Source organism: Homo sapiens, chromosome 12 (assembly GCF_000001405.40).
Source record: "Homo sapiens chromosome 12, GRCh38.p14 Primary Assembly".
NCBI classification, from domain to species: domain Eukaryota; kingdom Metazoa; phylum Chordata; class Mammalia; order Primates; family Hominidae; genus Homo; species Homo sapiens.
The window spans coordinates 75,952,263-75,980,142 of record NC_000012.12 but is presented as its reverse complement, the minus strand read 5'-3'; the positions used below and the strand labels follow the sequence as shown (position 1 = coordinate 75,980,142).

General features: G+C 42.0%; 1 long non-coding RNA gene and 2 pseudogenes across 1 annotated transcript, besides 6 other annotated features; 1 reads left to right on the top strand and 2 right to left on the bottom strand.

Moving 5' to 3' along the window:
• Window positions 1,470–2,669: an enhancer, noted in NCBI's record as "P300/CBP strongly-dependent group 1 enhancer chr12:76371254-76372453 (GRCh37/hg19 assembly coordinates)". NCBI's record gives its function as "activates an origin of replication core promoter dependent on BRD2, BRD4, P300/CBP, MED14 and CDK7 cofactors, with strong dependence on P300/CBP, by STARR-seq in HCT116 cells {active_cell/tissue: HCT116}" and the evidence as "EXISTENCE:reporter gene assay evidence [ECO:0000049][PMID:35650434]".
• Window positions 1,892–1,941: an enhancer, noted in NCBI's record as "active region_6673". NCBI's record gives its function as "activates an Ori minimal core promoter by ATAC-STARR-seq in GM12878 lymphoblastoid cells {active_cell/tissue: GM12878}" and the evidence as "EXISTENCE:reporter gene assay evidence [ECO:0000049][PMID:35858748]".
• Window positions 1,951–2,095: an enhancer, noted in NCBI's record as "145 bp enhancer 5 fragment used in the MPRA reporter construct; PK_construct_1559". NCBI's record gives its function as "activates an SV40 promoter by MPRA in HepG2 and K562 cells {active_cell/tissue: HepG2 | K562}" and the evidence as "EXISTENCE:reporter gene assay evidence [ECO:0000049][PMID:23512712]".
• Window positions 1,972–2,141: an enhancer, noted in NCBI's record as "active region_6672". NCBI's record gives its function as "activates an Ori minimal core promoter by ATAC-STARR-seq in GM12878 lymphoblastoid cells {active_cell/tissue: GM12878}" and the evidence as "EXISTENCE:reporter gene assay evidence [ECO:0000049][PMID:35858748]".
• Window positions 2,017–2,030: a transcriptional cis regulatory region, noted in NCBI's record as "HNF4 motif; enhancer activity is reduced when this motif is scrambled". NCBI's record gives its function as "necessary for full MPRA enhancer 5 activity {active_cell/tissue: HepG2 | K562}" and the evidence as "EXISTENCE:site-directed mutagenesis evidence [ECO:0005528][PMID:23512712]".
• Window positions 13,081–13,891, bottom strand: LOC124902969 (uncharacterized). Its single transcript, XR_007063378.1, has 2 exons — window positions 13,647–13,891; window positions 13,081–13,263 (listed from the first exon to the last, which is right to left on the bottom strand). It is a non-coding gene; the product is annotated as an uncharacterized LOC124902969 (long non-coding RNA).
• Window positions 14,897–15,391, bottom strand: LOC100289143 (NOP10 ribonucleoprotein homolog (yeast) pseudogene; annotated as a pseudogene).
• Window positions 21,716–22,661: an enhancer, noted in NCBI's record as "H3K27ac hESC enhancer chr12:76351262-76352207 (GRCh37/hg19 assembly coordinates)". NCBI's record gives its function as "activates a minimal SCP1, AML or CMV promoter by ChIP-STARR-seq in primed H9 embryonic stem cells {active_cell/tissue: H9 hESC(primed)}" and the evidence as "EXISTENCE:reporter gene assay evidence [ECO:0000049][PMID:30033119]".
• RN7SL734P (RNA, 7SL, cytoplasmic 734, pseudogene) lies at window positions 22,013–22,310 on the top strand (annotated as a pseudogene).

Genomic DNA, 27,880 nt, shown 5'->3' with positions numbered 1-27,880 from the left:
AAATTCCCCATTATCCAGGAATAGGGAAATAAGGCTACAAACTTCTAGGGCTTCTGCTGCTGTCTTTCTTCCTTTCTCATTTCTTATACATAAGAAAGAAATATCGAAAATTCATAGATGACAGCTGAGATGTCCTCTTGGAAATAAGACTTCATTATGTTTCCCGTCTACTGCCTGCTATGATTACATAAAGAAAAGGTGACCAGAATCACTGTAGCAACAAATAGAATTCAGTTGCTTCTTTTCCTGCCCTCAGCCTCCTAGGGCCTATAGTGTGGTGGCTGAGAGCTCAGATTCTGGAGGTGAACAGCTCTGGGCTTAAATCCTGGCTCCTTTACCTTTTGGCTTGATTTTGGGCAAGTTACACAATCCCCTAAACTCATCATTTCCCATCTGAAGTGGGGATGAAAATAGCACCAATCTAATATGGTTACTATGAAGATTAAAAGGATTAATGTTTGTAAAAAAAAATTAGCAGTGTACCTGGCATATGGTAAATATCAAATTTATGATAGCTGTTTTAAAAATTATTATTATTGCAGAAATATACTAGTTCATTAGTTGCATATACTGATAGAAGTGGGGATGGAACTTCATAAGGGAGTGGAAAGAGAATACTAGCACTCCCTGGTACCACTTGTATGTAAATCACTTAACGGTGTGCAAAGGATCACACTATAGTTCTGTGATGTGAGAGAAGACTGAATCACTTCCATTTCCGTTGGTAAATGCTAAGGGCAACTACAGGGTGCAGGGCAATAAATGCTGCCTCTCTACTTGGAAATGACTAATCTCCTTTCTCTAAAGTAAAGTGATGTTGAAGTGGGTAAGAAGAGAGAAGATGAAGGTAGCCAGAGTGAGAAGTGGGATGGAAGGGACAGGGAAGTTTCTAAGATCAGCCCCAAATCTTCCTTCTTGAGCTGTGACCAGAACACCATCCAATATCCAATGTCTTCTATCAGCCTGAGTTATCAAGCACAGGAGAGAGCTCCGTATTAAACTGTGTGGCATACGAGTGCCTAATTCCCAGTCTTCTAACTAGTAAGGACAAGGTTTCCTTGCCAAGTTTATCCTGAGGGCAAAGGCCTGGGTGATGTTTTTTGAGGGATGGTATATTCTTTTTAAAAAAGGTATTTAGGAAGCTGTACTTTGTAGACCCATGTGAGAAGGGAAATTGCATTTAAAACTCACCTTGGGGTGAAGGGAAATGCCTTTGAACTCTGCAACTCAGTAGGTAGTCACTTATCCCCCTCATCATTGATGGGTGAGCAGACAAGCTGAGAGCAATCGCATCTCAGCGTACAGTCCTGATGCACTTGTATTCAGTAATGTAGGCAGTTTGAGGTTTGCCCTTCTGTCCTCGCTAGGTGTTTGCTTTCTACTCTGTACATGTTTTAGGATGAACTATAGTTATCTTCCAAATTAGCATTTTAAAGGCATTCTGATTTTGTTTAAAACAAATCACAACGTGAAGTATTGGACTATGGCTGTAGATAATTCTTCAGATTGTGTTAGTACTCCTGGACCAGTTATTGTGAACTCATGGCCTTTTCAAAATGCAGTCGTTGGCTTTCATCTTCTTAAATGTGACTCTATCAAATCCATTCCAACTCTCATACTGGCATTAGTTTGGCCTACTTCCTCTAACGCAAGCCAAGCAAATTCTCCAAATACCAAATATAAGATGGAGATTCAAAGGTCATTGTTTTCTTCCATGCCATTCCACTCCACTCCCACCCCCAGCCAGCAGGGTAAGGGTTCAGATTCCTGCTTAAAACAACAGGTCAGTGGGCACTGCCAAATCATCCTCAATGCCGTTTCAACTGCTAAGTTTTCTGTATCACAAAACCAATGTTTATCCTGTATTTGCAACCCCTGAGCTGCGTTCTCTTGCCCTGATTCTCTTGCTCTTCCCTGCCAGTGAATTTGCATCATTTCTGTGTGTGCTTTGTTTGACTGCCCTGACTCCAGTTCTGCTGAGACTGTCTGTGGGTGGTTTCCCTGTGCAGAGATGACAAGTGCAAAGGTCAGAAGCTTCCATGATTCATTTCCTCTTTGCTGCACGCAGTGGATGGTTTTCTGGGTGAGTCACTCAGATGCCAAACACAGGAGGGATTTTCTTCACATAGAGGCCCTGAGGCTCTGCTATGCCCTGAATTGGAGGAGGAACTGAGTTCTTAATATTTCCTGAAAAATTGTGTATTTTTTCCAATGATTTCATAAGCCCATTTGTATTCCCTTTCTTTGCATCTGATGACTCTGATTTGCGAATGCTGCGTACCCCTTGGAGAACATTTTGGTATCTTGTAGAGCTTCACTGAGTTCTGACTCAAGAGTAATTGGACTCTTTGAAATATACCCCAAAAGCCTGGATGCAGTAGCTCACACCTATAATCCCAGCGTTTTGGGAGGCCAGGCGGGAGGATTGCTTGAGGCCAGGAGTTTGAGACCAGCCTGGGCAACATAGTAAGACCCTGTCTCTCTCTAAAAAAAAAAAAAAAAAAATTACGTGTGTGTGTGTGTGTGTGTATTATGTTTGTGTGTATATATCTCAAGCATATTCCTGTATTAAAACATTCCCTGGTATGTTATCTATACAGGAGTATTAACAGCAGTCTACCTGTGGCTCTTCAAAAATCCACCCTCCTAGCCAGGCACAGCGGCTCATGCCTGTAATCCCAGCACTTTGTGAAGCCGAGGTGGGCAGATCACTTGAGGTTAGGAGTTCAAGACTAGCGTGGCCAGAGTGGTGAAACCCCATCTCTACTAGAAATACAAAAATTAGCCAGGCGTGGTGGCGGGCACTTGTAATCCCAGCTATTCGGGAGGCTGAGGCAGAGAATCTCTTGAATCCAGGAGGCAGAGATTGCAGTGAGTCGACATCGTGCCACTGGCCTCCAGCCTTGGGTGACAGAGTGAGACTCTGTCTTAAAAAAAAAAAAAAAAATACTACCCTCCTCTTCTTCTTCCAGAATAAAAATCTATGGGAGGAACAAGAACATCAACTGAGGATGATGGTAATGTTGCAATACCTAGGGCTGAAACCTACAGCAAAGTATTATTTTCTCAATGAAGAGAGGTTATTATTTTCTTTTTTTTAAACCTTTAAAAATTATGAAATAGAATATGCAAACAGAAGGCATAAGTGTATAGTACAATGAATAATTACAAAGTGAATACCCTCCATCAAGAAATGGAACATGGCCAGCCCAGACGTCCCTCCTTTGTTTACCTTCTAGACGTACCTCCCTTCTCCTGTCTTGAGGTATCCACTACCCTGATTTTTGTGGTAGTCATTTCCTTGCTTTTCTTACCACCTATGTATGCAAGGTTGTTATTTTGTAAAGCAGTATCAATTCCATCTTCTGCCGGTGGCACTATGTAATTCACTTGTATTAAGTAGCGACCACAGGATGACTTTGGGCTAGAGTGGTATATATCTATTCTCTCCCCACCCTAAAATTCCATAAAAATGCTTATCCATGTCTACTGTGTCATGAACTAATAATACTCCTGCTAAGACACATGTTTAAAGTAATGACAGTGAAGAGGTAAAATAAGCACGAAATTTTCAGTGGTCTGTCTCCTGTGCTCTGGGGTTCCTGAGCTGCAAATAGAGTTAAATGATCTGTGATGGGAATATAGAAATCCTCCCCGCCAACCCCCTGCCACCTCTTACTATCCCCTCTCTCTGATTTCCCTGGGAAATATCCCAGCAAGTTGTAAAATCTGCAGAACTTGGGCATGAAAAGGATCTATTTACAGGTCCTGAACTTTCCCCTTTTGGTTTCTTACTTTGAGAACATACAGGCTGTTTCAGCATATTTCTTTATCAGGGCAACTCACCCCAAAGATTATTTGATCTTCTTTAGTCTGACATGTTCTCTGCTGAGCTAGGAAAAGCAGCTGAGTGGAAATGGGACTTAAAATGTAATTCTTAACCATTTTTACTTCCTCGCCTTCCTTCTCTTCCTTGATTGGCTCAGGCAGGTTTGTAGAGGCAGAAAAGGAAATTAACGTTTATTACACCCCTATTTTGTGCCAGGCACTTTTGAGTCCATTATCTTATTAAATACAACACCAGGAGATACTTATTTTTTTTTGTTGGCTCCATTTTGTAATGGAGGCCACTGCATTTCAGAGCACTTAAGTAACTAAACATCATTATGTAGTTAGAAATGGCCATAATGAGGAACTAAACGGTCTAACTCCAAAGCCAAGTTCTCTTTCTTCTCTATCAAGCTGTCTCTTATTTCACTTGCCTGATGACCTTGGAGTGCCCTTGGCAACCACTTTTTAAAGGAGGGTCTATTTTTGTTAGGCAGAATGAAAAGTTATTGGGTTTATTAGCAGTAATGGGTTCAAGGTCTCAGAGTTTTCTTTTTTTTTTTTTGAGACAGGGTCTTGTTGTGTCACCCAGGTTGGAGTGCAGTAGCGCAATCACTGCTTACTATAGCTCCAACCTCTCGGCTCAAGTGATCCTCCTGCTTCAGCCTCCTGAGTAACTGGGATCACGCCCAGCTAATGTTTTTATAATTTTTAGTGGTGACGAGGTCTTGCTATGTGCCCAAGCTGGCCTGAAGCAATTGTCCCACCTCAGTCTCCCAAAATGCTGAGATTACAGGTATGAACCACCATGCTGGCCTCAGTTTTCTTCTTAAGAGCACTGGCTTAGGGCTGGGTGTGGGGTGTGGTGGCTCACACCTTTAATCCCAATGCTTTGGGAGGCCGAGGCAGGTGGATCATTTGAGGTCAGGAGTTCAAGTCCAGCCTGGCCAACATGGTGAAACCCTGTCTCTACTAAAAATACAAAAATCAGCTGGGCCTGGTGTTGCACACCTGTAATCCCAGCTACTCGGGTGGTTGAGACAGTAGAATCACTTGAACCTGGAAGGTGGAGGTTGCAGTGAGCCAAGATCATGCCACTGCACTTCAGCTTGGGCAACAGGGGGAAAAAAAAGCACTGGCTTAGGCTTCGGAGCCACCAGGATGAAAGGCTTCAGGTTATGGTAGTTTCATAAGGGATGGAGGAGGACCGTCAATCTTTGAAGCTCATGTTTGATCCAAGGCCACTTTCTGTGTTTCCTTACATCACAGGTCTGGCTGCCTCTGTGATCTGGTGCCCATAGTCTGTAGGAGACATTATAAGCTTACTGTAAGAAAGCCTAATTAGAAAACAAAGACAGCATGGAGGGGATTACCCTGGAAACATTCCTTGTGCTATAATGCTATTCACTGTGGAGTACAATTTGGTGAAATGCCCACCCCTCTTGCACCTTATCCAGGGAATGTTACTAAAGCAGCACAAGTACTTTGTTTTGTGTTGGTCTTTTGTGTAAGGCAGCTCTCCAGTGTGGTTCCTGTAGCCAGTGTTTCCCCAGAAGAGAGCATGTTAAATGCTTACGGGAAACAGTTTGGTCAGTTGAGGAGCAGGTGTCGGGAAAACAAATGAGGCAGGAATTTAATTTTGGAGTATGTCTGGAGGTGGTATTTACAGAGCACATGGAAGTTATTTTTGGAGGTGCTTATGAATTGTTTAAGTCCATGTCCTTAACTTTAGGAGGAAGTAACATCTGTGTCACACTAAATGTGGAACCTGAATGAGGCTCATAGCCTGTGGCAGAGGCCAGGACCTTGGGCCAGCAGTTTTTGCTCACCATGTGAGGTTGAGTGTCAGTGTTAAAGGGCATTTTTTCAGAGGGGGAAGTTGGAGAGGGAGTAGTGGGTAGCAGCTCCTACTTCAACCATCTCCAGGATTCTGCCCTTTTAATCTGTGAGACATGAGGAACGATTTTTCATCTTCTCCCCAACACAGGCACTACTCCACAACTCCATTGCAGTGATCATATTATTGTTATCCTCTTATGATATACTTCTCTCTTTTGTAATATCTATGGCCATTCATTTGTTCATTCTTGATTCATTTGTTTAATCAAAAAATATTTTTTGGGCCGGGTGCGGTGGCTCATGCCTGTAATCCCAGTACTTTGGGAGGCCGAGGCGGGTGGATCACGAGGTCAGGAGATCGAGACCATCCTGGCTAACACGGTGAAACCCTGTCTCTACTAAAAATACAAAAAATTAGCCAGGCGTGGTGGTGGGTGCCTGTAGTGCCAGCTACTTGGGAGGCTGAGGCAGGAGAATGGCGTGAACCCGGGAGGCAGAGATTGCAGTGAGCAGAGATCGCACCACTGCACTCCAGCCTGGGCGACAGAGCGAGACTCCGTCTCAAAAAAAAAAAAAAAAAAAAAAAATTTGATCTCATAGTAAATGCTAGGCAGTGTCTTAGACCCTGGTGATACATAACGATACAGACGAACATCATAGTTTGTTTTATTTTAAACAATTTTCATTTTTTTGCATGAATTTTAAAAACACAATTATGTAATTGCAAGTACTACAAAAAGAAGTTGCTTGTTTGTCATTGATAGGAATAATTAAAAAAAAAAAAGTCATATGTAAGACTCAATGGTAGGGAAATAATGTGGATTTTACTAGGAGATGGAGCAGGAACCTGACAAGAATAAAACCACATGTGTCATTTTCCCTGCTCTTGTCATTGCTGTTTCTACAATGGCAGCAAAAACTTGGGTTATGTTTTCATGGATATTAGTCTCTTCTCCAAGTCATTGTAGAAGCATCATTGATCTGTTTTTTCACTTTGCGTAAGTTACCAAATTTTTCCATATATCTCAAATAGTTAGTATCACACAGTGTTAGAATTGGAAAGGCCCTCCAATGTTTATCTATGAGGAAATTGAGTTTCAGATGGAGAGGTGATTTGTCTAACATTAGTGGCTAGTTAGTAGCAGAGCTAGTTCTGCTCTTCTTCCTCCAAAATGGAATTCCTGAGTTATTTGTTTTCCTAAGATCTATTCCATGATTGACCAGACTACACTATGCTGCCAGCTCCTGTCTGTATCTAACACAGATATTTACATAATGCCTCTCTTGACAATATAGTAATATATATTGAAAGTCTACTGTAAGTAAGCGATGAGCTGAGGGCTTTACACACATGATGTTATTAATCTTCACCCTAACACTTTAAGAGGAATGTTGTTATTGTTTTCATTTTACAGATGAGAAAACAGAGAGACTAAGTCAACGATTCCTTAACTAGCTTTAAAAAGTCAGATTATTCAAGGCCAGGTGCAGTGGCTCATGCCTGTAATCCAAACACTGGGAGGCCAAGGTGGGAGGATCACTTGAAACCAGGAGTTCAAGACCAGCCCAGACAACAAAGTGAGACCCATTTCTACCAAAAAAAACCATATTAGCCAAGCATAGGGGTGCACATCTGTGGTCCCAGCTACTCAGGAGGCTGAGACGGGAGGATCATTTGAGTTCAGGAGTTCAAGCCTGCAGTGAGTCACAATGGTGCCACTGTACTCCAGCCTGGGTGGTAGAACAAGACCTTGTCTCTTAAAAAATTAGATTATCTTGAAGAACAAAATAATGATAGCATTGAATTAAAACTCAGAATAAAATAAATATCCACGAGTCCATACTGATATTGATAAGTAATTGAAAAAATGAAGAGAAGGCACAACTTTTCCTTACAGAACTCTTCCTGGAAAATTCTAACTAATAAAGGTAGAAGGAAGGAAATAGAAACTCACCATTAGAATACCCCATTAATAATTGTTGCAGACATCAGTGTGTGGAAGTTTGAGGAGAAACACAATATTTACTCTCTCAGAGTATCTCCCTCAAGATTATTAATCACAAATGGAGACATACTAACTTGACAGCAGAAAACTCCAGCAGACACCACCTTAATTGAGTGATCCAGGTTAACCTCACCAGTAGTGAGATATAATGATATCTCCTAACCCAAAACGATACACTGAGAAGGGCACTTCACTTTGGTGGCATTCTTGCTAAAAATGTAAAACATCAATCTCATCTTGAGAAAACATCAGACAAACACAAATTGAGCAACATTCTATAAAATATTTACCACTCATCTTCAAAAGTGTCTAGGTCATGAAAGTCAAGGAAAGACTAAGGAACTGTCATAGTGTGGCGGAGACTAAGGGGACATGACGACAAAATGTAATGTGGAATCCTGTAAGAGAAAAAGATTTTGGTGGAAAAACTGGTGAAAATTGAATAAGTATCACTCCATGTAGGTATAGCATTGTGTCAATGTTAATTTCTTATCTTTGATAATTGTGTTATGGCTATGCAAGTTGCTAACATTAAAAGAAGCTAGGTAAAGGACATATGGAAACTGTCTGTACTGTTTTTGCAACAAATTTTTCTTTTCTTTCTTTCCTCCTTTTTTTTTTTGTTTTGTTTTGTTTTTGAGACAAGGTCTTGCTCTGTCACCCAGGCTGGAGTAAAGTGACATAACTCACTGTAGCCTTAAACTCCTGGGCTCAAGTGATCCTTCTGTTTCAGCCTCCTGGGTAGCTGGGTAGCTGGAACAGGTGCATAGCACCAGGCTCAGCTAATTTTAAAAATTTTTGTAGGGATGGTGTATTAGTCGATTCTCATGCTGCTAATAAAGACATACCTGAGACTGGGTAACTTATAAAGGAAAGAAGTTTAATTGACTCACAATTCCACATGGTCGGGGAGGCCTCAGGAAATTTACAATCATGGCAGAAGGTACCTCTTCACAGGGTGGCAGGAGAGAGAATGAGTGCTCAGCAAAGGGGGAAACCCCTTATAAAACCATCAGCTATCATGAGAGCTAACTCATTATCATAAGAATCATGTGGTAACCCCCACCCCCCATGATACAATTATCTCCTCCTGGTCCCTTCCATGACGCATGGGGATTATGGTAACTATGATTCAAGATGAGATTTGGGTGGGGACCCAACCAAATGATATCAGATGGGGTCTTGTCATGTGCAACTTTTCTTTAAGTGTAAACGTATTTCAAAATTGAACCAGGTCCCATTTAAGACTTACTAAATCAGAATTTTGCCAGTTCGTATGATCCAGAACTCTGTACTGTCCTGGGTGACCCCTGTGTCTGAGTTTGCATATGTAGGAAGTGGTAGGACCAGGATTTGAACCTAGGTCTGCCTGATTGCAAAGCTCTTCGCCAGAGCAGGCTGCCTAATAGATACTTGAAGTTAAGTGGAAATCCAGATTAAAAATATCAACAATGTTTGAGATAAAAACACTCAGTGAAAATTATTGTATTTTTATATCTTGTTCTTTTAAATATACAGAGATGATGTTTGGTGATTAAATTGAACTAAAGACTAAATCCTTCTTCCTGATCCTAATTCCCAAGTCATCTTCATTTATTTTAAATAGGCAGCGTAATTATCTCAACCAAATAGGCTATTCCTGAGTTATAGTACCAAAACTTGCTCCATTGTTGGTAGAGAAGAACTCAAAACTGTAATTGCAAATGTCACTGTTGTAAAGTATGGTCAAATCATAAGAATTTAATGATATATGCATTTTGGACTAAGTAAAAAGAGCAAAATCAAATTCTAAAGATAATTATCCAAGCGTGGTTAAAAAAATCAAGGCCTGTTTAATCTGTTTTCTCTCTCATTTGGCCCAGTTCATCTCTCAGATGGCCTCAGACCCTGGCAAGTAGAAGTTCTGAGCAGGCTGGAATTACCCACACTTGGGGAGATAGGTTGCCAAAGAGGTGTGGCTAGGAGGGTGATGAAAAAGGCTCTGTGCCCAAGGCTTCTTCCTTCTCACTAACTTTGGTGCCAGGCACCCTATTAGTGCCTAGAGATGTAGAGATGAATATGGCACAATCCCTGCCTTCAAATCACTCCTGGCTTAGTTTGGGTGAGAGAACTATGGATGGCTCAGAGCTGGGGATTGGACAAGTAAGGGCAAAAAGAAGGGAAAAATTGCTATTGGAACAAAAACTGATTCTCACCATTTCACATACTAGGAGACTGACATGAGTTACCCAGGTGTGATGGCTCTTTGACTTAAAAATTAAACTTGAACTACTTCTTTTTGAGTAGTCAGCCTCTCCTCCTCTGTGGCTGGGCCTGTGGTCTGGAAGGAGAGAAGGAGATTCAGAGAAAGCTTTTGGCTTTGCATAACAAAGCAGCAGGAATTGAGGACTGTCACCTGGCATCTCAAAGGCAACTGGGAATGAGTAGAGCGGTGTGGAAGCTGGGTGCAGCCTGTGCTGACTCAAAGCAGGCAATCTCCTCCGCGTTTCCCCAAATTCTTCGGAGAAAGGAGAACCTTAAAAGGGATGGGGTGAATGGACCCTCTGTCACATAGGAAAGTGAAGAATTGCAACATAATGCAGTGGAGTCATGTGCTGCTTGGGATGAGATCACAGAGGAGCGTCTGCCTAACTTTGATGGGGCAAGGGTGGGGGTTGGAGGTGTGAAAACTTCACAGAAGACATCATGTCTCAAGTTTATACAAAATTATGAATAGGAGTTCATCAGATGTCTAAGGAAAAAAGAGCTTTCCAGAAAAAGGGCTCATACATTAGTGAGTAACCCCTTCCCAACCCCACCCCTCCCCATTTGAGTTTTTTCTTGGGTGAGAGATTGTATCTGTATAGGGCTCTGCCAAAATACAAATAAGTTCCCTGGGAGGGTATTATGCTTTTGTAGCAGCAGTTTCGGAGGAATACACTGGGCGAGTTTTATCAACGGAATAGAAGAAAACCAGAGCACTTAGCTCTGGGAGGTCAAACTCCACCCTACCCCTGCTTCTACCCCATTTGGAGCTGAAAGGGTGCTCCTGGGTAGCCAAAGGGCTCCAGAAGGAAGGAAAGTGGTGCTTGAGGAAGGAAGTGATGGGTCGGGGGAGGAGAAACAGGACCCAAAACAGACTCTGGAGACAAACATTACCTCTCCAGCCAGGCTGGCTTTGACAAAGTAGCTTTTCTCTTGTTTAGATGGGAGATGACCAATAATTTGACCATTTCCAATCATTACCATGTTTGAAATGAGCAACAAGCAAAACAAAAAAATGTGATAGTGACAATATGATGTGTTGTATTTACTGAGAGCTCATTGTGTACTTTATATGCTATTTTTCCTTTAAAGCTTTCCACCAGCTGGTGAAATAGGTGTGATCTTTAACATCTTCATTTTGCAGAGGAAGGAACAGAAAAGGGGTGAAGTCACTTGTTCATGGCCATTGAGCCCATAGGGGCAAGTGCTGGATCTCAGTCCAGGCTCTTAACCGCTAGCCGTGCTGCTTCTCTGCTGCTGGAAAATTCAAGCCTGAAATCTGGGCATAATCTTATCTTCTGTGAGTTTCCCTTCCTGGCATTTTGGGCAAAACAATTCTCGTGTTGGACTGTCCTGCACAGCAGTACCACAGGTCCTGCTCACTAACTGCCAGGCACTCCCCAGCCACTGTGACCACCTAAGATGTCCTCACATGCCCATTTCCCCAGAGTCCTCTGGGAGTACCCTACTGGCTAAGAATGATGCTAGGCTCATAAGGGAGAAGTGGAGCAGATAAAATTTACAAATCTGACCATTGGCAAGAGCTTGGGATAACCTGCTAATTCTGGGCAAGTTTTTCAAGTTCTCCAAGCCTACAGCAGGATAGTGAAATTGGTTCTCCAGATTCCAATTCCAGGATTTTGGTGAGAAGCCAACAGGTTCCTCTTATTTCGAGAATGCTTCAAAATAATTGAAGTAGAATGTTGTGCCAGATATAAAGAAGAGTAAGAAAGAGCTCCTGCCCACAAGGAACTCACAGTATAGCAAGGCAAGTGAGGTCCTCAACTGACCCTCATGCGATGAAGTGATGTAGAGCTTTCCTCTTCTCAAAGTGTGGCACCAAGGCCAAGAACATCAGCATCAGTGGATGTTAAAAGTATAGAATCTCAGGCTCCATCCCAGGTCTACTGAATGAGGATCTGTCTTTTAACAATATCCCCAGGTAGCTTGGATGCACTTTTTTTTTTTTTTGAGATAGGGTGTTGCTTTGCTGCCCAGGCTGGAGTGCAAGTGGCATGATCATGGCTCAATGCAGTCATGACCTGCAGGGCTCAAGCAATCCTCCCACCTCAGCCTCCCTAGTAGCTGGGATGACAGGTGCTCACCACCATGCCCAGCTAATCATTGTAGTTTTTATAGAGACGGGATTTCGCCATGTTGCCCTGGCTGGTCTTGAACTCCTGGGCTCAAATGATCCAGCTGGCTAGGCCTCCTAAAGTGCTGGGATTCCAGGTGTGGGCCATTGTGCCCGGCCTGGATGCACATTTAAATGTAAAGATCTCTGGTTATAGAGCACATAGGAGAAAATAACTAAGTTTGTTGCAGTGATCAGAGAAATCTTCCAGAGAAGAGAATGCTAGACCTTGAAAAAACAAAACAAGTAGGCTTTTTTTTTTTTTTTTTTTTTTTTTGAGATGGAGTCTCGCTCTGTCTCCCAGGCTGGAGTGCAGTGGCACTATCTCGGCTCACTGCAAGCTCTGCCTCCTGGGTTCACATCGTTCTCCTGCCTCAGCCTCCCAAGTAGCTAGGACTACAGGCGCCCACCACCACGCCTGGCTAAGTTTTGTATTTTTAGTAGAGATGGGGTTTCACTGTGTTAGCCAGGATGGTCTCGATCTCCTGACCTCATGATCCACCCATCTCGCCCTCCCAAAGTGCTGGGATTACAGGCATGAGCCACCGTGCCTGGCCACAAGTTGGCTTTTTTAGTAGGCAGAGATAGAAGAGAATAAGAGCCTACTAGTTAGGAACATAGAATTTTTCCCCTTGGAATTATTTATTGGTTTGAGACACCAAAAGGGATAAAGATTTATGTGTAATCAGGGAAACAAGAGTCTTTGGGTACTCACATTCATGTCTGATAATAATATTAATTCAGTTTGACAAATATTGTTAAGCAACAATTATTCATTATCACTCAGCGTATGGATGTTCCCGGTATGCGGTTGAACAATGAACACAACAGATGTATCCTCTCCCTGAGTACTGAGTCCAGGTTAGAATCCTGGGAAAACCATGTATCAGCTGTGTAAACTTGGGACATTATTTAGCCTCTCCTTTTCTTAGTTTCCACATCTGTAAAGGGGGATCATAATGGCACCCACCTCATTGGATTTATGTGAGGATTACATGAACAATACACTTAGAGCTCAAAAAATAGTAATAGGAGCATACAGAAGTTTATTGAGCACTTTCTGTAATGAGGAATAGTGTGCGCAGAGTAATGAAAATTTTTGAAATAGGTTAAACATTTCTGAAGAACTTTCGAGACTTCCTGGATTACCAAATCTTCTTATATCTCTTCATTGTGTATGAAGATTGTTTGAGGTCGTATGTTTCCTGACACCTAATGGCAGAGAACATTAACAAAAGGCTACGTATTGTTCATGATGATGTGTAGTCATGAGCCTGTCCAAAACTTTCCTCTTTAGCTGTTTTATCCTGGCTTGTTCCTTGCTAATGGTGTGACCATGAGCCAGTCATTTAACTCCCCAGGCTTTGGTTTCCTCATCTGTATAATGGGGATAATCAATGTACCTGCACATAGGGCTGCTGTCAGGATTAAGTTAATTTCTGTAAGTAAATCAGGCACTTAGAATAGTGCCTGATCCACATTAAGCAGTTGATAAATCTTAGCTACCATTGTCATCATCATTCTTATTTTGATTATTTCCCTTAGTTAAAGAGCTACCTGGAAGTTAAGCCCAATATAGGGAAGGCATTACTCACATGTCAAATCAAGGCTAGCTCTCACAGTAGAGTGTCCTTTATGCTCAATTCCTTGGCTGTCCTGCCTCTTCTGCCTTGATAGAAACTTGATTTGGTTGGTTTTTAGGCCACATAGAGTGTTGTTAGTCCATACCTGTGATGTGAACAGACAGAAAAATGTGATCTGCATCCTCCAAATAAAAATGAGATCTGCATCCTCTTTCTGTTAAAAATGGCCATTCTCTTGCCACCATCACCCCCAAAACCTTGTCAGACACACTCTGTCTGCAATTTGAGTTTCAATATTCTTCATCAAGTTTATGTCATAACCAGTGGTGACTTCTTTAAAAGGGATAGATGGACTAAGTGCATTTATAGAGATGTGCACTTAGTCTTTCAAATATGACAGCTGCTCTAAAACTTCCAACCAGCCAAATCTCAAATCTTCTGTCCTGCTGGGCTGGATATTTCATTGTCTTACCTTTCTCACTCTCTTTTCATTACTACACAATGTACTATTTCACCATGAGGTGAAAATAGAACACCTGTTGTGAGTCTTTGAGGATTTTGTTCAGTGTTTTCTTGTAAAGTCAAACCAGAAACCCCCACTGGCAAAACTAGCTGTGTCTCATATTTAAACACAAACTATAAAGTGTCAGGGAAAGAAAAAGTGACTTAGCCAATGAAAACAGTGCACTGGGGGCCAGAATCTGTTTTCAAGATTTATGAGCTGAAAGTAAGTCACGCTTTAATGAATGTTAAATGAAACCCATCTTATTCGTGAAAGACAGGCTATATTTTCTTATGAACATGACCAAGGAATGCCTCTTTTCTGAAACTTGAGTTGTGTCCTTAAAATGATATGCAGGTGAACACATTACAATCAATCTTCTGAGAACTAGAAAATATATGATGGTTTGGCATTATAAAAATCATTTTTCCCCTCTGAAGTGTGTCAGAATTTTATGTGTGTGTGTGGGGGGGATGTTACAAGTGAAGAACAAGGAAAGAAAGCAGTGTCTTATATTTCAACCTATTTTGTTCTTGGTTTGAGTATTTGTGACTTTGAAAACCAGGCCCAAATTTGGTATAAGGGGTCAGACATGGGCAATATCTGTCTCTGGTGGCCTCAGTACTTTTTTCTATGCTCCGAATTCTCCTTCAATTTTGGCTGCCACAAAGTGTTCCACCCTCACTCCCCTACCACTCCCACCCCTAAATATCATCAGGAAAAGATTTGACTCTTAGTGTGAATATGATCTTTTTTTTTCTTCAAATCATTTTATCTTTAATAATCTTGCAGTAATTTAAAATATGAGAAAAAAAGTTAAACGTGTTCCCTTTACAGGTGATGCCACCATGATTGCCTCGCACAAGCATGATCAATCACCATGATGAGACTGGATGCCAAAGAGCATGGCTGGCAAAAAGGCATCAGGGCTCACAGATTGAAGAGTTTGGTTACGGAGTCTCTAGGGGGTAACAGGTGGCAGAAGAGACATCAGTTTAAGGGACCTTCAGAGGACAGGGCGCGGTTGCTGGGTCATGAGCACCTTTAAACGTTTCTTGATGGTGATTCGGTGTCGGGAATATTTGTCATCTGGGGAGAACTGAGCAGGATGGGCTAAGCAGGTCTGTTGTCCCATCGAGTCAAATTTCTCCAGCGTATAGACCTGATCTCCCTGCTCACTAATACTGAAGAAACATGATTACTCTTAAGCCAGAGGTTCCAATTTGGTCCGCAGCTCCGTCTGTCGCTGTCTGCCGAATATGATCTTTTAGAAGGTCATTTGCATTTAAAATTTTCTAAATGCAGAAGGAAATGTTGGTATATTTGGGGGCATTTGGGAGTATGTAAGGAATTAATAGTGTGTTGTGGGAGAGGAGAGACAGAGCCTCTTCTCCCAGGGGCACCTATCATATCCTGTTGTCTGTGCCCCTGCAGATGGGCAGTGCAGTAGCCCTGGAGAAGGAGATGGTACTGTTAGCTTCTCAGTATTTCTGAAATCATACTAAAATACTAAGTAGGAACCTACCTGTGTGGCCTGGCTGTGTGTAGGAGATGGATAGAGAAACAATCCTAGAAGTGAGGCAAGGCCAGCCTGAGAAGGAAGTGAACTGAAATATCTGTTAGAAATACTTCCTCAGGCAGGGAGGGAACCTGTGCAAGAATAGGGGGTGTGGCCAGCCATGAGTGACAGACACTCGTGGACTTCCACATTAGTGCCATATTCAAACTGAGCAGAACTAGAATGCAGAGGTCCCAGGCTTCTAGAGTTGTACTTCCAGAATATAGTCTGAATTTTCTAGAACTCTTTAGAAATTTTTCCTTTTGCTTGTGAAGGGTGATGGCAGGGTATATCAGGCTACAGTCTCCATGTAAGTGAAGGTGTCAGTTCTTTTCCAGGTTAAGGTATACTATACTAACTGGTATGACTGTTTGATCCCTAATTTGGGAAATGATACATGTAGTGGTAAAGAAACAGGATTTGGAATCAGACTGAAGATAAATCCCTCTAAGACAGGAATAGCATCCATCTTGTTTGTTGATAACCAAAACCTAGCTTCACTGGTTCCTGGCACAGGGAATATACTCAATAACTATTTTGAATGTTGAGGGAATGAATCAATGGATATATGAATGAATGAACTAACCTGTTTGAAATTCCAGAGCTTCTATATTTGAGACTTATGGCCTTGGGCAGGTTACCCAAGTTCTCTGAGTCTTAGTTTTCTTATTTGAAAAATTGGAAAAATAATACTCAGTTTACAGGGTTGTTATGAGAAATAACATGATCTAACATATCCATAGCCCTTAGCACAATGCCTTAATAAAGGCAAGCTGTCATAACAGTGATAGTAGCAGTATTAATGTTCATCACTCCCATAATCACAGAATTGTTGTTCAGTGGGGGAGGAGGTGGGTAAAATGTGGACATAGATCCTCATGGCAGCCAATGAGAGATTAACAGAGGAGAATTGTTGTGGAGTGGAGAGTCTGGACAGGGGTTATTTTATGAGGTTTAGGTGAGAGATTGTACATGCCTTGACCTTGATAGAGAAGGTAGACATGGCTGGGGTGAGGCCTTAGCAAAACTGGGTCAATTTGAACTAGTTTCCTTTGGGAAATCACCAGTGTGTCTGGCCTCAAAGTTCAGGCCATTTCTACCACATCATAGTACATACTCCTACCTATGTGAAGAAAAGAGGGGGATAAATAAAATGTAGGTCTCTCTCTCTCTCTGTGCGTGTGTGCGTGTGTGTGTGTGTGTGTGTGTGTGTGTGTGCGCGTGTGTTAAAGGCCTGGAAGATACTGCCTAGTTGGTAATGGAGACAAAGTTGTTGGGAGGTAGTCAAAAGGAAGGGTTGGTGTTAATCAGAGTAAATTTCTGCCTTTCCCTTCTGGCTGGGCCCAGTCTTACCTCTGGATGGGAAGCACAGCTGATATGCTGCCATGCTAGGTTCACTAGCTCATGCTTTCTGGAGGAAAGCAACGATGTTTGCCGTCATGCAATCTTATGCTATTTTGCAAGCCAATTTTTACAGCCTTTACAAAGTACTCGTTAAAAGGGAATATATAAAATGCTTGAAGGGAGAACCATGAGAGAAAGTTGGTGCCATGAGTGTATCTTATTAGGTGTGTTCTAACAGGCTAGATATTTTACATACCTTATGTTTCATTTGTATGACCTCTCTCTCCATTTTATAGACGAGGATGCTGAGACTTGGAGAGGCTAAGTAACTTGGTTACTAAGTTGTGCAGTCAAGATTCCAACCCTGACCTTTCTGAATTCTGAAGCTATTCTCTGACCATATTCTATAATGCATGTGAGGATGCAAAGCTAAATGAGCCTTTCACTCTCTGCCTTTGTCTTCTCTCTGCAGTTATCTTGCATTTTATGGAAGGGCTAGCTCAGCGATGGGAATGGATGTTTTTATGGAAAAGAATCACTTACCGGCCAGGCATGGTGGCTCATGCCTGTAAGCCCAACACTTAGGGAGGCCGAGGCGGGTGGATCACGAGGTCAGGAGTTCAAGACCAGCCTGGCCAAGTCTCTGCTACAAAAGTGAGCCAGGTGTGGCGGCGAGCACCTGTAATCCCAGCCACTTGGGAGGCTGAGGTAGAGAATTTTGCTTGAACCCAGGAGGTGGATGTTGCAGGGAGCCGAAATTGCGCCACTGCACTCCAGCCTGAGCGACAGAGCAAGACTGTCTCAAAAAAAAAAAAAAAAAAAAAAGAATCACTTGCTGTTCCAGGCACAATGGTTGTATCTTAACTTAATAAGAGGAGTAAACAAGTGTTGAATCCTTAGTATGTGCCAGCCATTACACTAAGAGCATCACCCTCACGATCTTACTTAATCCTCACCGCAAGCCCATGAGCTGAGCACTGTGCATGCATGCTACTGGGAGGTAGTGGGTGGGATCAGTATAGGCTCTTCCAGCTCATTGCCACGCCTTGGCAGGGTGAGGTCCATTGCATTGGCTTCCCTGCCAGATGCTGTAGGAAAATACACTGGAGGCCAGGTGCAGTGGCTCATGCCTGAATCCCAGCACTTCGGGAGGCTGAGGAGGTGGGCAGATCCCTTGAGCCAGGAGTTTGAGACTAGCTTAGGCAACATGGCAAGGCCCCATCTCTATGAGAAATACAAAAATTAGCCAGGCATGGTGGTGCATGCCTGTAGTCCCAGCTTACTCAGGGGGCTGAGGTGGGAGGATTGCTTGAGCCCAGAAGGTCAAGGCTGCAATCAAGCTGAGACTGCACCATGACACTACAGCCTGGGCAACAAAGTGAGAAGCTGTTTCCAAAAAAACAAAAACAAACAAACAGAAAACACCAGAGACCTGGTTCCTAGGTTCATAGCATTCTCCCGTGGAACATAAACAGCTAGTGTAAGACCTATCTTCCTCCAGAAACAAGTGAGTTATGAGTGCAGATACAGTTCATTGACAGTCAATGTGATCCATAAGCTGGGTGGGACAGTGGTTTTTCCAAGGCCACATCCCACCTTATCATCTTCTTCCCTGTAATAGCTGTAAGAGTATTAGCTCATATTTGTTGACCTGTTGTTGAGCTCCAGACACTGTCCTAGTCATTGTACATGCATTCTCTCTAATCCTCATTGCTATTCTCTGAGGGTGGAACTGAGACAAAAAAAAATTAAGTCCATTTGCCCAAGGACTCACAGCAAATGGAAGGGCTCTGATTTGGACCTGAGGGCATCTGTTTTTAGAGGCTAAATGCCTGACAGGGAGGTCTACAGCTGAAAGTCTCAACCAGATGGTAAATGAGAAGCACTGCGTTTTATTTACCTTCCTGACACCAGGTCATGTACTGTAGGGACTCAGTAAGACTTGTTACTCAGGGCCAGTTGCGGTGGCTCACACTTGTAATCCCAGCACTTTGGGAGGCTGAGGCGAGTGAATCACCAGTTTAGGAGTTCAAAACCAGCCTGGCCAATATGGTGAAACCCCAACTCTACTAAAAATACAAAAATTAGCTGGGTGTGGTGGCGGGCACCTGTAGTCCCAGTGTCTGGGGAGGCTGAGGCAGGAGAATCGCTTGAACCTGGGAGGCAGAGGTTGCAGTGAGCCAAGATCATACCACTGCACTCCAGCCTGGGTGACAGAACAAGACTGCATCTCAAAAAACAAAACAAAACAAAACAAAACCCAAAAACTTGTTACTCAGAAGAAGCACCAAAAGGTGGTTGTTTTGGGGGATTGGCAATGGTGTGGAGTATATCGTATGTGCTAAGTGCTTTTTAACCAACTTGGATCGAGGCCAGGGTTATTTTCCTATTCTAGGTCTGACCTCAAAGTGCTCCCTTTGGCATGTTGGATTCAATTATTAGGGTGTTTTCACATTTACCTTTCCCAGCAATAGTTTTCAGCCTTAGCATTCTGCTCACATTTCACTTTTAACTAAGTCTCTCTTTAGCAATCTGCTCAGACCTCTTGCCTGTGTGAATAAAGTTTGATTTTCACAAAGGGCACTTTCTAGTCAAAATTCCATACTTGCTGCTTTCCGGGCTATGAAGTGCTGACCTGGGTGGAGGAGACATTGTTTCCTTAGAAAACGACAGAGCTTGAAGCTCTTCACTGATGTGAGGGCCTTTCTCTCCCACTTTGGAACAGTATCAGTCAGATGTACTTCATTAGAGAGACCCTGGGCTAGTTCCTAGGAGCTTCCTGTCCACCAGCTGCTACAGTGGGGTTGGCAGGTACCAGGTGTGGCCAGCAAACATACCTGCCTCAGAGGCCTGGGTCCTTTGAAGTGCCGAAGGAATGTCACACTTCAAAGAAACCTCACTGCAGCTGTCACCTGGCTATCGAGGGGAGGTCAGAGAGTTAATATGCAACCATGAAACTCCCACCTCCAGCCAACACCTGCAAAGCTGAAGCACATTTTTTTTTTCTGGTGCACAGGATTTGAAAGCATTGTTCCTAATTTATCTCAGCATTGTTCCTAATTTATCTCAGCAAGAGCTCAATGCCCTATGTCTTCAGATAAAGATCTATTGTATATATCTGTCCAACAATAAAATAAGTAAATGAGCTGGATTTTTCTTTTCTGAATAGGAATTATTTAGTAATGAAGTAAGTATTTGCAATTACTATTTGCAGGGGTTTAATTATGGGACTAATTTGTAAAAAACATTAGCAAGGCTTTGTACAAATGTAGCATCTTTTATCCGAGGATCACAATGTGTTGTATGCAAATGAATGAACTCTGCTGATGGCTCTGTTTGGTATGCACTCAGTCACTGTTTTAAATTTTCCTTGGGCATTCAGCACTCTAGGGCTGGGGTGGGAAGCCAACATTTATTTATAAATTGCAGCAAGATGGATGTAGATTAGATCTAAAAAAGGACTTCCTGGTTGTGATGTTACTAAATGCTGGCCTGAATTACTGCAGCAGTTTTTAAAGACTTGCGTGAACAAGACTTCCTGCCACTTTGATAGTAGTCTTTTTATTAGAAAACCAAACCCATCATCTTCTTCCAGTAGAAGAAGCTAAGTTTTCAACTTAAACACAAATAGTAAGCCATTAAAGAAAAGAAAAAGAGGGTTGGAGTGAGTGACTATAAAAGCCCAAATTCTGGCAGACTCTCCTTTAAGGCTCTGGACTCTGCTAAAACCTGGACTGCAGGAAGGTATGCCTCAATTAACATCATAAAGGCTAAATTTTGCCTGGGGATAGCCTTTGTTACAGTTCCTAGCCTCAAAAAAATGGCTTCAGCTCCCTTTCCCTCCCACCCTTGTTTATACATTCCAATACAGATTTGCATCTAAAAAATAAGATAGACAAATGCCTGCATGTATATGTTTATAGTGGAATTTCATTACAGATATCTGCCTAATGCTGACAGATAAACCAGGCCCGATGACCTAATATTCCTCCTGCACTTGTTTTATTTGAGCTTCATGTTTCTTCTACCTACTCCTCCTTCGGCAGGAACAGAAAGATTTAGAAAAGAACAGGTTCTTTGCAAACAGCCTATGGCTACTCTGATGGCGGACCCTCATTCACCCTCACTCTCTGCTTTCTAATCTCTTTCCTGTCCCACTGCCTTACGGTTTATTGAAACCTCAAAACTTTCTATAGCTTTGGTGCTAAATTTTGCAATCAGTTTTCTTCCTCACTTAGGGGTTAGTGCCCCTGGACTCATATTGGGCTGCAGCAGAGCAAGTGGAAGGTCAGAGGAGTTGAAAAGAAGAGTTTCTGGAATTGGGCTGCTTAATTCAAAATCTGGTTTATGAACCATGGGAACTTGGGCAGGTTTCTTCACCTCTCTGCCTAGTTTCTTTAACTGTCAAATGGGGACAGTATTAATCCCTACCTTATAGAAAATTCATGAGAGTTTAAATGAGATGATACATGTATAATACATATTTCAGGTAACATAATACAGATTTCTGTTAATTAATTAGACTCCAAAAACATAAAGATGGGAATACTTGTATCTCATAGCATTTTTGAATGCTTTTCACATGCTTCTTAAGTATTGTACACATACCATCTCATTTAACTCTCATGACTTTTCTATAAGGTAGGAATTAATATTGTCCCTGTTTGAAAGTTAAATAAACCAGGCAGCGAGATGAAGAACTCTGCCCAAGTTCCCATGGTTCATAAACCAGATTTTGAACTAAGCAGCCCAATTCCAGAAACTCTTCTTTTAATTAATTAAACTCTGAAAACATAAGGATGCTTATACTTATATTTCTTTCCTGGATCCAGAGCATCTTCAATTATTATGGTGTTTCTCCAACTGTGGGTTGGGTATTATTAATGGCTCATGAACTCAACTTAATTTGATATCAACTAGCCTACGAAAAAAGGAAAAATATCTGTGTACAAGGCAGGTATTAAGGATAGTACTACCAGGCATGATAGCATGCATCTATAGTCCCAGCTATTCAGGAGGCTGAAGTGGGAGGATCGCTTGAGTCCAGGAGTTCTTGGCTGTAGTGCATGATGCCAATTGAGTGTCTGCACTAAGTTCAGCATCAATGTAGTGACCTCCCAGAAGCAGGAGACAACCAGGTTGCCTAAGGAGGGGTGAAGTGGCAGAGGTTGGAAACAGAGCAGTGCAAAACTCCCACACTGATCGGTATTGGCATCACACCTGTGAAGAGCGACTGCCTTGCAGCCTGGACAACATACTGAAACCTGCCTCTTTTGAGTTCTTACCTTATAAAGTATCCTTTCTTCTCATGCATCTATCCTAAGACAACAGAAAGTACAGTATGTAAACTTTTTTTTAAACATGATAGTACTGTTTTAGAAAACTTTTATTTATTTTATACCTGTATACTTATATGTGATATGTACATTTACTTAACATGCTTTACCTATGTATATTTACATATATACTTACATGAGGTACATTGAATCATGATGTAAAATATTATTTCAAGTCAAAAAAGTGAAAAAATGCAAGACATTTTTCCATACAAATTGAACAGAGTTGCCTGCTGTACCCGTTTCTCCCCTGCGTCATGGGTTATGTACTGTACTCTTTCAAGATGATAGTGGTCTTTTAGAAATATTATTAGGAAAGTCATAAATGCAGCCAAGGAGGGAAGAAAGGAATAATTTAAATGACATATACGGCAAGGCAGACAAAAACTATTGGGCATAGTATGTAAATTATAGAAGTTCATTTTTTACAAAGTATATATATGTAAAGGTTTAATATCTTTACTATATACAGAACACTTACAAGGCATATGAGCAATTAATTCATAAAAGGACAGTCAGCCACCTCTATCTGCGGATTCTGCATCTGTGGATTCAACCAACTGTGAATCAAAGCATTTCAAAAAAAATAATAATTATCTCTGTACTGAACATATACAGACTTTTAGATCTTGTCATTATTCCCTAAATAATACAGTATAACAACTATTTACATAACATTTATATTTTATTAGATAATGTAAGTAATCTAGAGACTAGTTAAAGTATACAGGAGGCTAGGCGTGGTGGCTCACGCCTGTAATCCCAACGCTTTGGGAAGCCGAGGAGGGCGAATCACGAGGTCAGGAGTTTGAGACTAGCCTGGCCAACATGGTGAAACCCCGTCTCTACTAAAAAAGACAAAAAATTAACTGGGTGTACTGGTGGGCGCCTGTAATCCCAGCTACTCAGGAGGCTGAGGCAGGAGAATTGCTTGAACCCGGGAGGTGAAGGTTGCAGTGAGCTGAGATCGCGCCACCGCACTCCAGCCCTGGTGACAGAGGGAGACTCCATCAAAAAAAAAAAACTTTACAGAAGAGACTAGGTGCGGTGGCTCATGCCTGTAATCCCAGCACTTTGGGAGGCCAAGGCGGGCAGATCACCTGAGGCCAGGAGTTCAAGACCAGCCCGGGCAATATGACAAAACCCTGTTTCTACTAAAAATATAAAAATTAGCCGGGTGTGATGGTGGGTGCCTGTAATCCCGGCTACTCAGGAGGCTGAGGCAGGAGAATCGCTTGAACCTGGGAGGTAAGGGTTGCAGGGAGCCGAGACGGCGCCACCGCACTGCAGCCCGGGCGACAGAGCGAGACTCCGTCTCAAAAAATAAAAAATAAAAAAAAGTATACAGGGAAATGTGCATAGGTTATATGAAAATACTGTATCATTTTATATTGCAGACCTGAGTATTTGCAGATTTTGGTACCTGCAAGAGGTCCTGGAACCAATACCCCATGGATACTGAGGGACAACTGTAAATAGTAAGCATATAAAAATATCTTTCACTTCATTACTAATAAAGGAATACAAAGGAAAACCATGAAATTATTTTTTTCGTCTATCAAATTAACAATTTTGTTTTATGGTAATATCCAATGTAGAGAAAGTTACAGGGAAATAAACACTTCCATAAAAGACTAGCAGGGATAAAGACTGGGATAAGTTTTCTGAGGGAGCAATCTGGCAATTTGATTTCAAAAGCCGTAAAAATGTATATGCCATTTGAATTGACAATTCTACTTCAAATAATTTATCCTAAGGCCATAATAAAGCTGTTTCACAAACATTTAGCTACCAGGATGTTCACTGCAGGACTGTTATAGTTTAAAAAAAAAAAAATTGGATGATAATTTAAGAAAAAAAGACAATTGATAAAATAAACTTCGGTGTACTGACAGAAGAATTTAAAATGATGCTCTGGTATGGTTTAAGATAATTTCCTTTTGTGTAGGGCTTGGTCTCTACAAGCAAAGCTTTGGGTACCAGACTTCTCTTAAATTAAAAACTAGGACCTTACGTTTTGCAACTGTGCCTAAGTGCAATAGATTGAATTTAGGCAGAAGTGCTAACTTGAATAATAATGCGATTAGCTTTAAGTAATATATAGTGTGGAAGAAATTGCATGTTATTTATATAGATGCCAAGTAGTCCACACTTGCCTGCTGTTTTCCGTAAGATCTGTAACCACACCGAGTTAAGCTTTGGCCTCCCTGCCTGTAACCTGATAAAAGGGTCAAGCCTGCAGGACGGTGTGTTGTTATACTCACTGATGGAATTTTCTCTCCCCTGCCTGGGCAGGTGAACCCAAGGCTATGAACCAGGGCCTGTAGGTATTTGAGGCTATCATGATGCTGCCCCCTGCATTCCTGCAGTCAACTGGGAGCTGTGGGGGCTGCAGCACTTGCTCTCTCCTGGCCAGCAGCCCAGGGGGTGAGTGAGGAGGGCTTGGGGATCCATTGAATTTCCTTTTTGTTTTCTTCATTTCTATTGGGTCTAACTCACTTGTTAAAAAGAAAAAAGTCTTACTAGTCTTACTATTGGAATTAGGAAATTAGTCTTTAACTGGACTGCAAATATGGCTCACACTTGTAATCCCAGTGCTTTGGAAGGCCAGGGCCTGAGGATCATTTGAGGCTGGGAGTTTAAGACCAGTCTGGGCAATATAGTGAGACCCGCCTTTACAAAGAATTAAAAGCAGCCAGGTGTGGTGGTGAGAACCTGTAGTCCCCACTACTTAGGAGGCTGAGGCAGGAGAATCATTTGAGCCCATGAGTTTGAGGCTGCAGTGAGCTATCATTATGCCGCTGTATTCCAGCCTGAGTGACAGAGCAAGATCCTATCTCTAAAAAAGAAAAAAGAGGAAAAAAAAAGAAATAGATTGAAAAGGAGAGTGTACACCCCATGAAGTTAACAGTTGTTTTTTTGTTTTTGTTTTTGTTTTTTTCCTGGTTGGGAGGATTCAGGTGGTTACTCTTTCCAGTTTACCTCCATTTTATAGTTTTTGTCACCAAGCACTTATTACTTTAACTAGAAAAACGAAAGAATCTTTTTGTCACTGTTGTCTTGTTCACTGCTGCCCATGTCCTAGAATGGTCTCTAGTCTATAGTAACCTCTCAATAACTACCTGTTGGAGAAATAACTGAATGAATAAATGTCAAAGGTCATTGCTTCCTTTGGGAATGGAAAGCTTTAGTACCATCAGATTTTTTCCATATCCTCAGCTTCTTAGGATCACAGGTTGGAGTTTTAGTAGCATATGTTAAAAAACATAGTTCCTGTCTTCTTCAAAAATCCTGTGACTTTCAAGAAACCTATGACTTTGGGCACCCTGTGTGCTATCTTTCCTTCAGCACGGATGGTTCCTGCCTGCTGAAAAGTGCTGACTATTGCACCTCAGCTAACCCACTCAACCTTTTTCTAGAGGCCCAGGGAGATATGAATGTGACCAAGAACTTGGCCTTTGATATTCAGCCCAAGTCTGGCTAGAGGTCAGAGGGAGAAAAAAAAAAAAAATCCCTCCATGAGCCATAGCTGTCTGTATATTCAGCGTCTCTAGGCAACTGGGAGGACATTTACCATTCATCCTCCAAGAATGCTGAGTAGCCCTTCTTACGTGTGATTCACTTTGGGGTAAATTTCTGTCCTTACTAATGAGCCTGTGATGGGAGTCAAGTGAAAAGGAATCATTAAATCTGGTTTTATTCAAGTTACATAATTAATTCTGGCACTGAAGTTGGCTTCCCAAGTTTTATACATGGCCTGAGTTTGTTCATTGAATTAAAGGTGAGCATGGGGGTTGATGACACGGTGGCTATAGGTTCTTATTTCTTGTCCTTCTTCATGGGGTTAATTTGAAGAATAATTTAGCTAAAGCACCTTGTGCAGGGTTGGGAATGTGTTAGTGATCGGTACATGAAATTTCCCTGTCCATTGCCTCTTTTCCCTCATGACCTCCTACATGGGAGGTTTTCCCTTGGAGGGTGTGACAGCTGATTACTCAAGCTGGTGTGGGAATTTAGCTCTGGAGATTGACTGGCAGATCAAAACTTGGACTGTTCTCACCAATAGGGGTACGGCTCTCTACTTCATTATGTGTCTTTGTGGCATTTTGTCTTTCTCTCTCCTGGCTAGTCTACTCAAACACCCTTCTCAGAGACTGCCACTGTGGACTCTGAAGTTTTCACAATACCAGGAGGTTTGTGGGAACTGAATAAATTGCTTCAAGATCGAACATAAAAATAAGTCCTGGCCCCAATCCTAAAAGAAGTCACTGGGAACCCAATCAGTGCTGGGCAACCAGCCCAGGCCCAGGCTAATGAGATATTTACATGCTAGGCTTTTCCCTTCATTTTGGTCTTCATGGGCCTCATTTATGAGGAAGTCTGGAGTGCGTGTGCTGTAGGCAGAGGCCGGTGCTTCCCAGCTTGGTGCCATGGACTCCTGTAGCAGATCAGGGGCACTACCACCCACCAAAAAATCCAGCACATTCAACAAACAGCAAATTCCCAGCCCAAAGCAATTACTTGCTTTTTATTTATTTATTTTTTTGCTATTGTTTTTCATTTACATTCTTTTCTGAGTTTTGCATGTTTTACTCTGACAGGAGGTATAAACAGGCAAAGGAAATGTAATCTATTTCAGTATTTGTGGGAGTGCTTGTCCTAGGAGTTTTAGGAGAGCATTTTCATCTATCAGATTAAGACAAATTTAAAAGGGTCCCCAAAGAGAATTTAGAATTGGAAAACTAAACCTAGGAGGAAGTTAAAGGTACAGTGATTATTTTGCTTGGAGAGTAGTATTGGCTTTCCAATAAAATGAAGGTGATTACTAAGAAAGGTAGCTGATTGGTCATTAGTGCATGGCCAGGACAAGAGAGTGAAGACTCATGTTTGCTTAAAAGAAGCATTTTTCTCTCAGGTGGAATTTGTTTGACGTTAGTGTGGCAGATTGTGATATTTCTTCTAAAAGTGGGAAAGCAATTTGTGTAATCTGTGCTCGTGTGCAGAGGACAGAACCAGATGGCTTTCGCAGTAAACTTTCAGGGCTTTACTAGAATAGGGAGAGACAAAAGGGAGGCAAACTTGGTGGCTTGTGAGATGGGGAATCGTTGTTTCAAATCAGGGGTGAGAACAACCCAAAATTTAGGAATGGCTTTTCAATAATAGCTCTTCTGATGTGTAGTACTAGAATCTAATTTTTATTTAAGCACAGCTTCAGAGGTTTTTTTAAAAAATTGCAAACTTGGAAATAAAGAAAAAAGAGGGGGCCGGACGTGGTGACTCATGCCTGTAATCCCAGCACTTTGGGAGGCCGAGGTGGGCAGATTGCCTGAGGTCAGGAGTTCGAGACCAGCCTGGCCAACATGGTAAAACCCTATCTCTACTAAAAATACAAAAATTAGCCGGGCACTGTGGCAGATGTCTGTAATCCCAGCTACTCGGGAGGCTGAGGCAGGAGAATCGCTTGAACCTGGGAGGCAGAAGTTGCAGTGAGCCGAGATCGCACCAT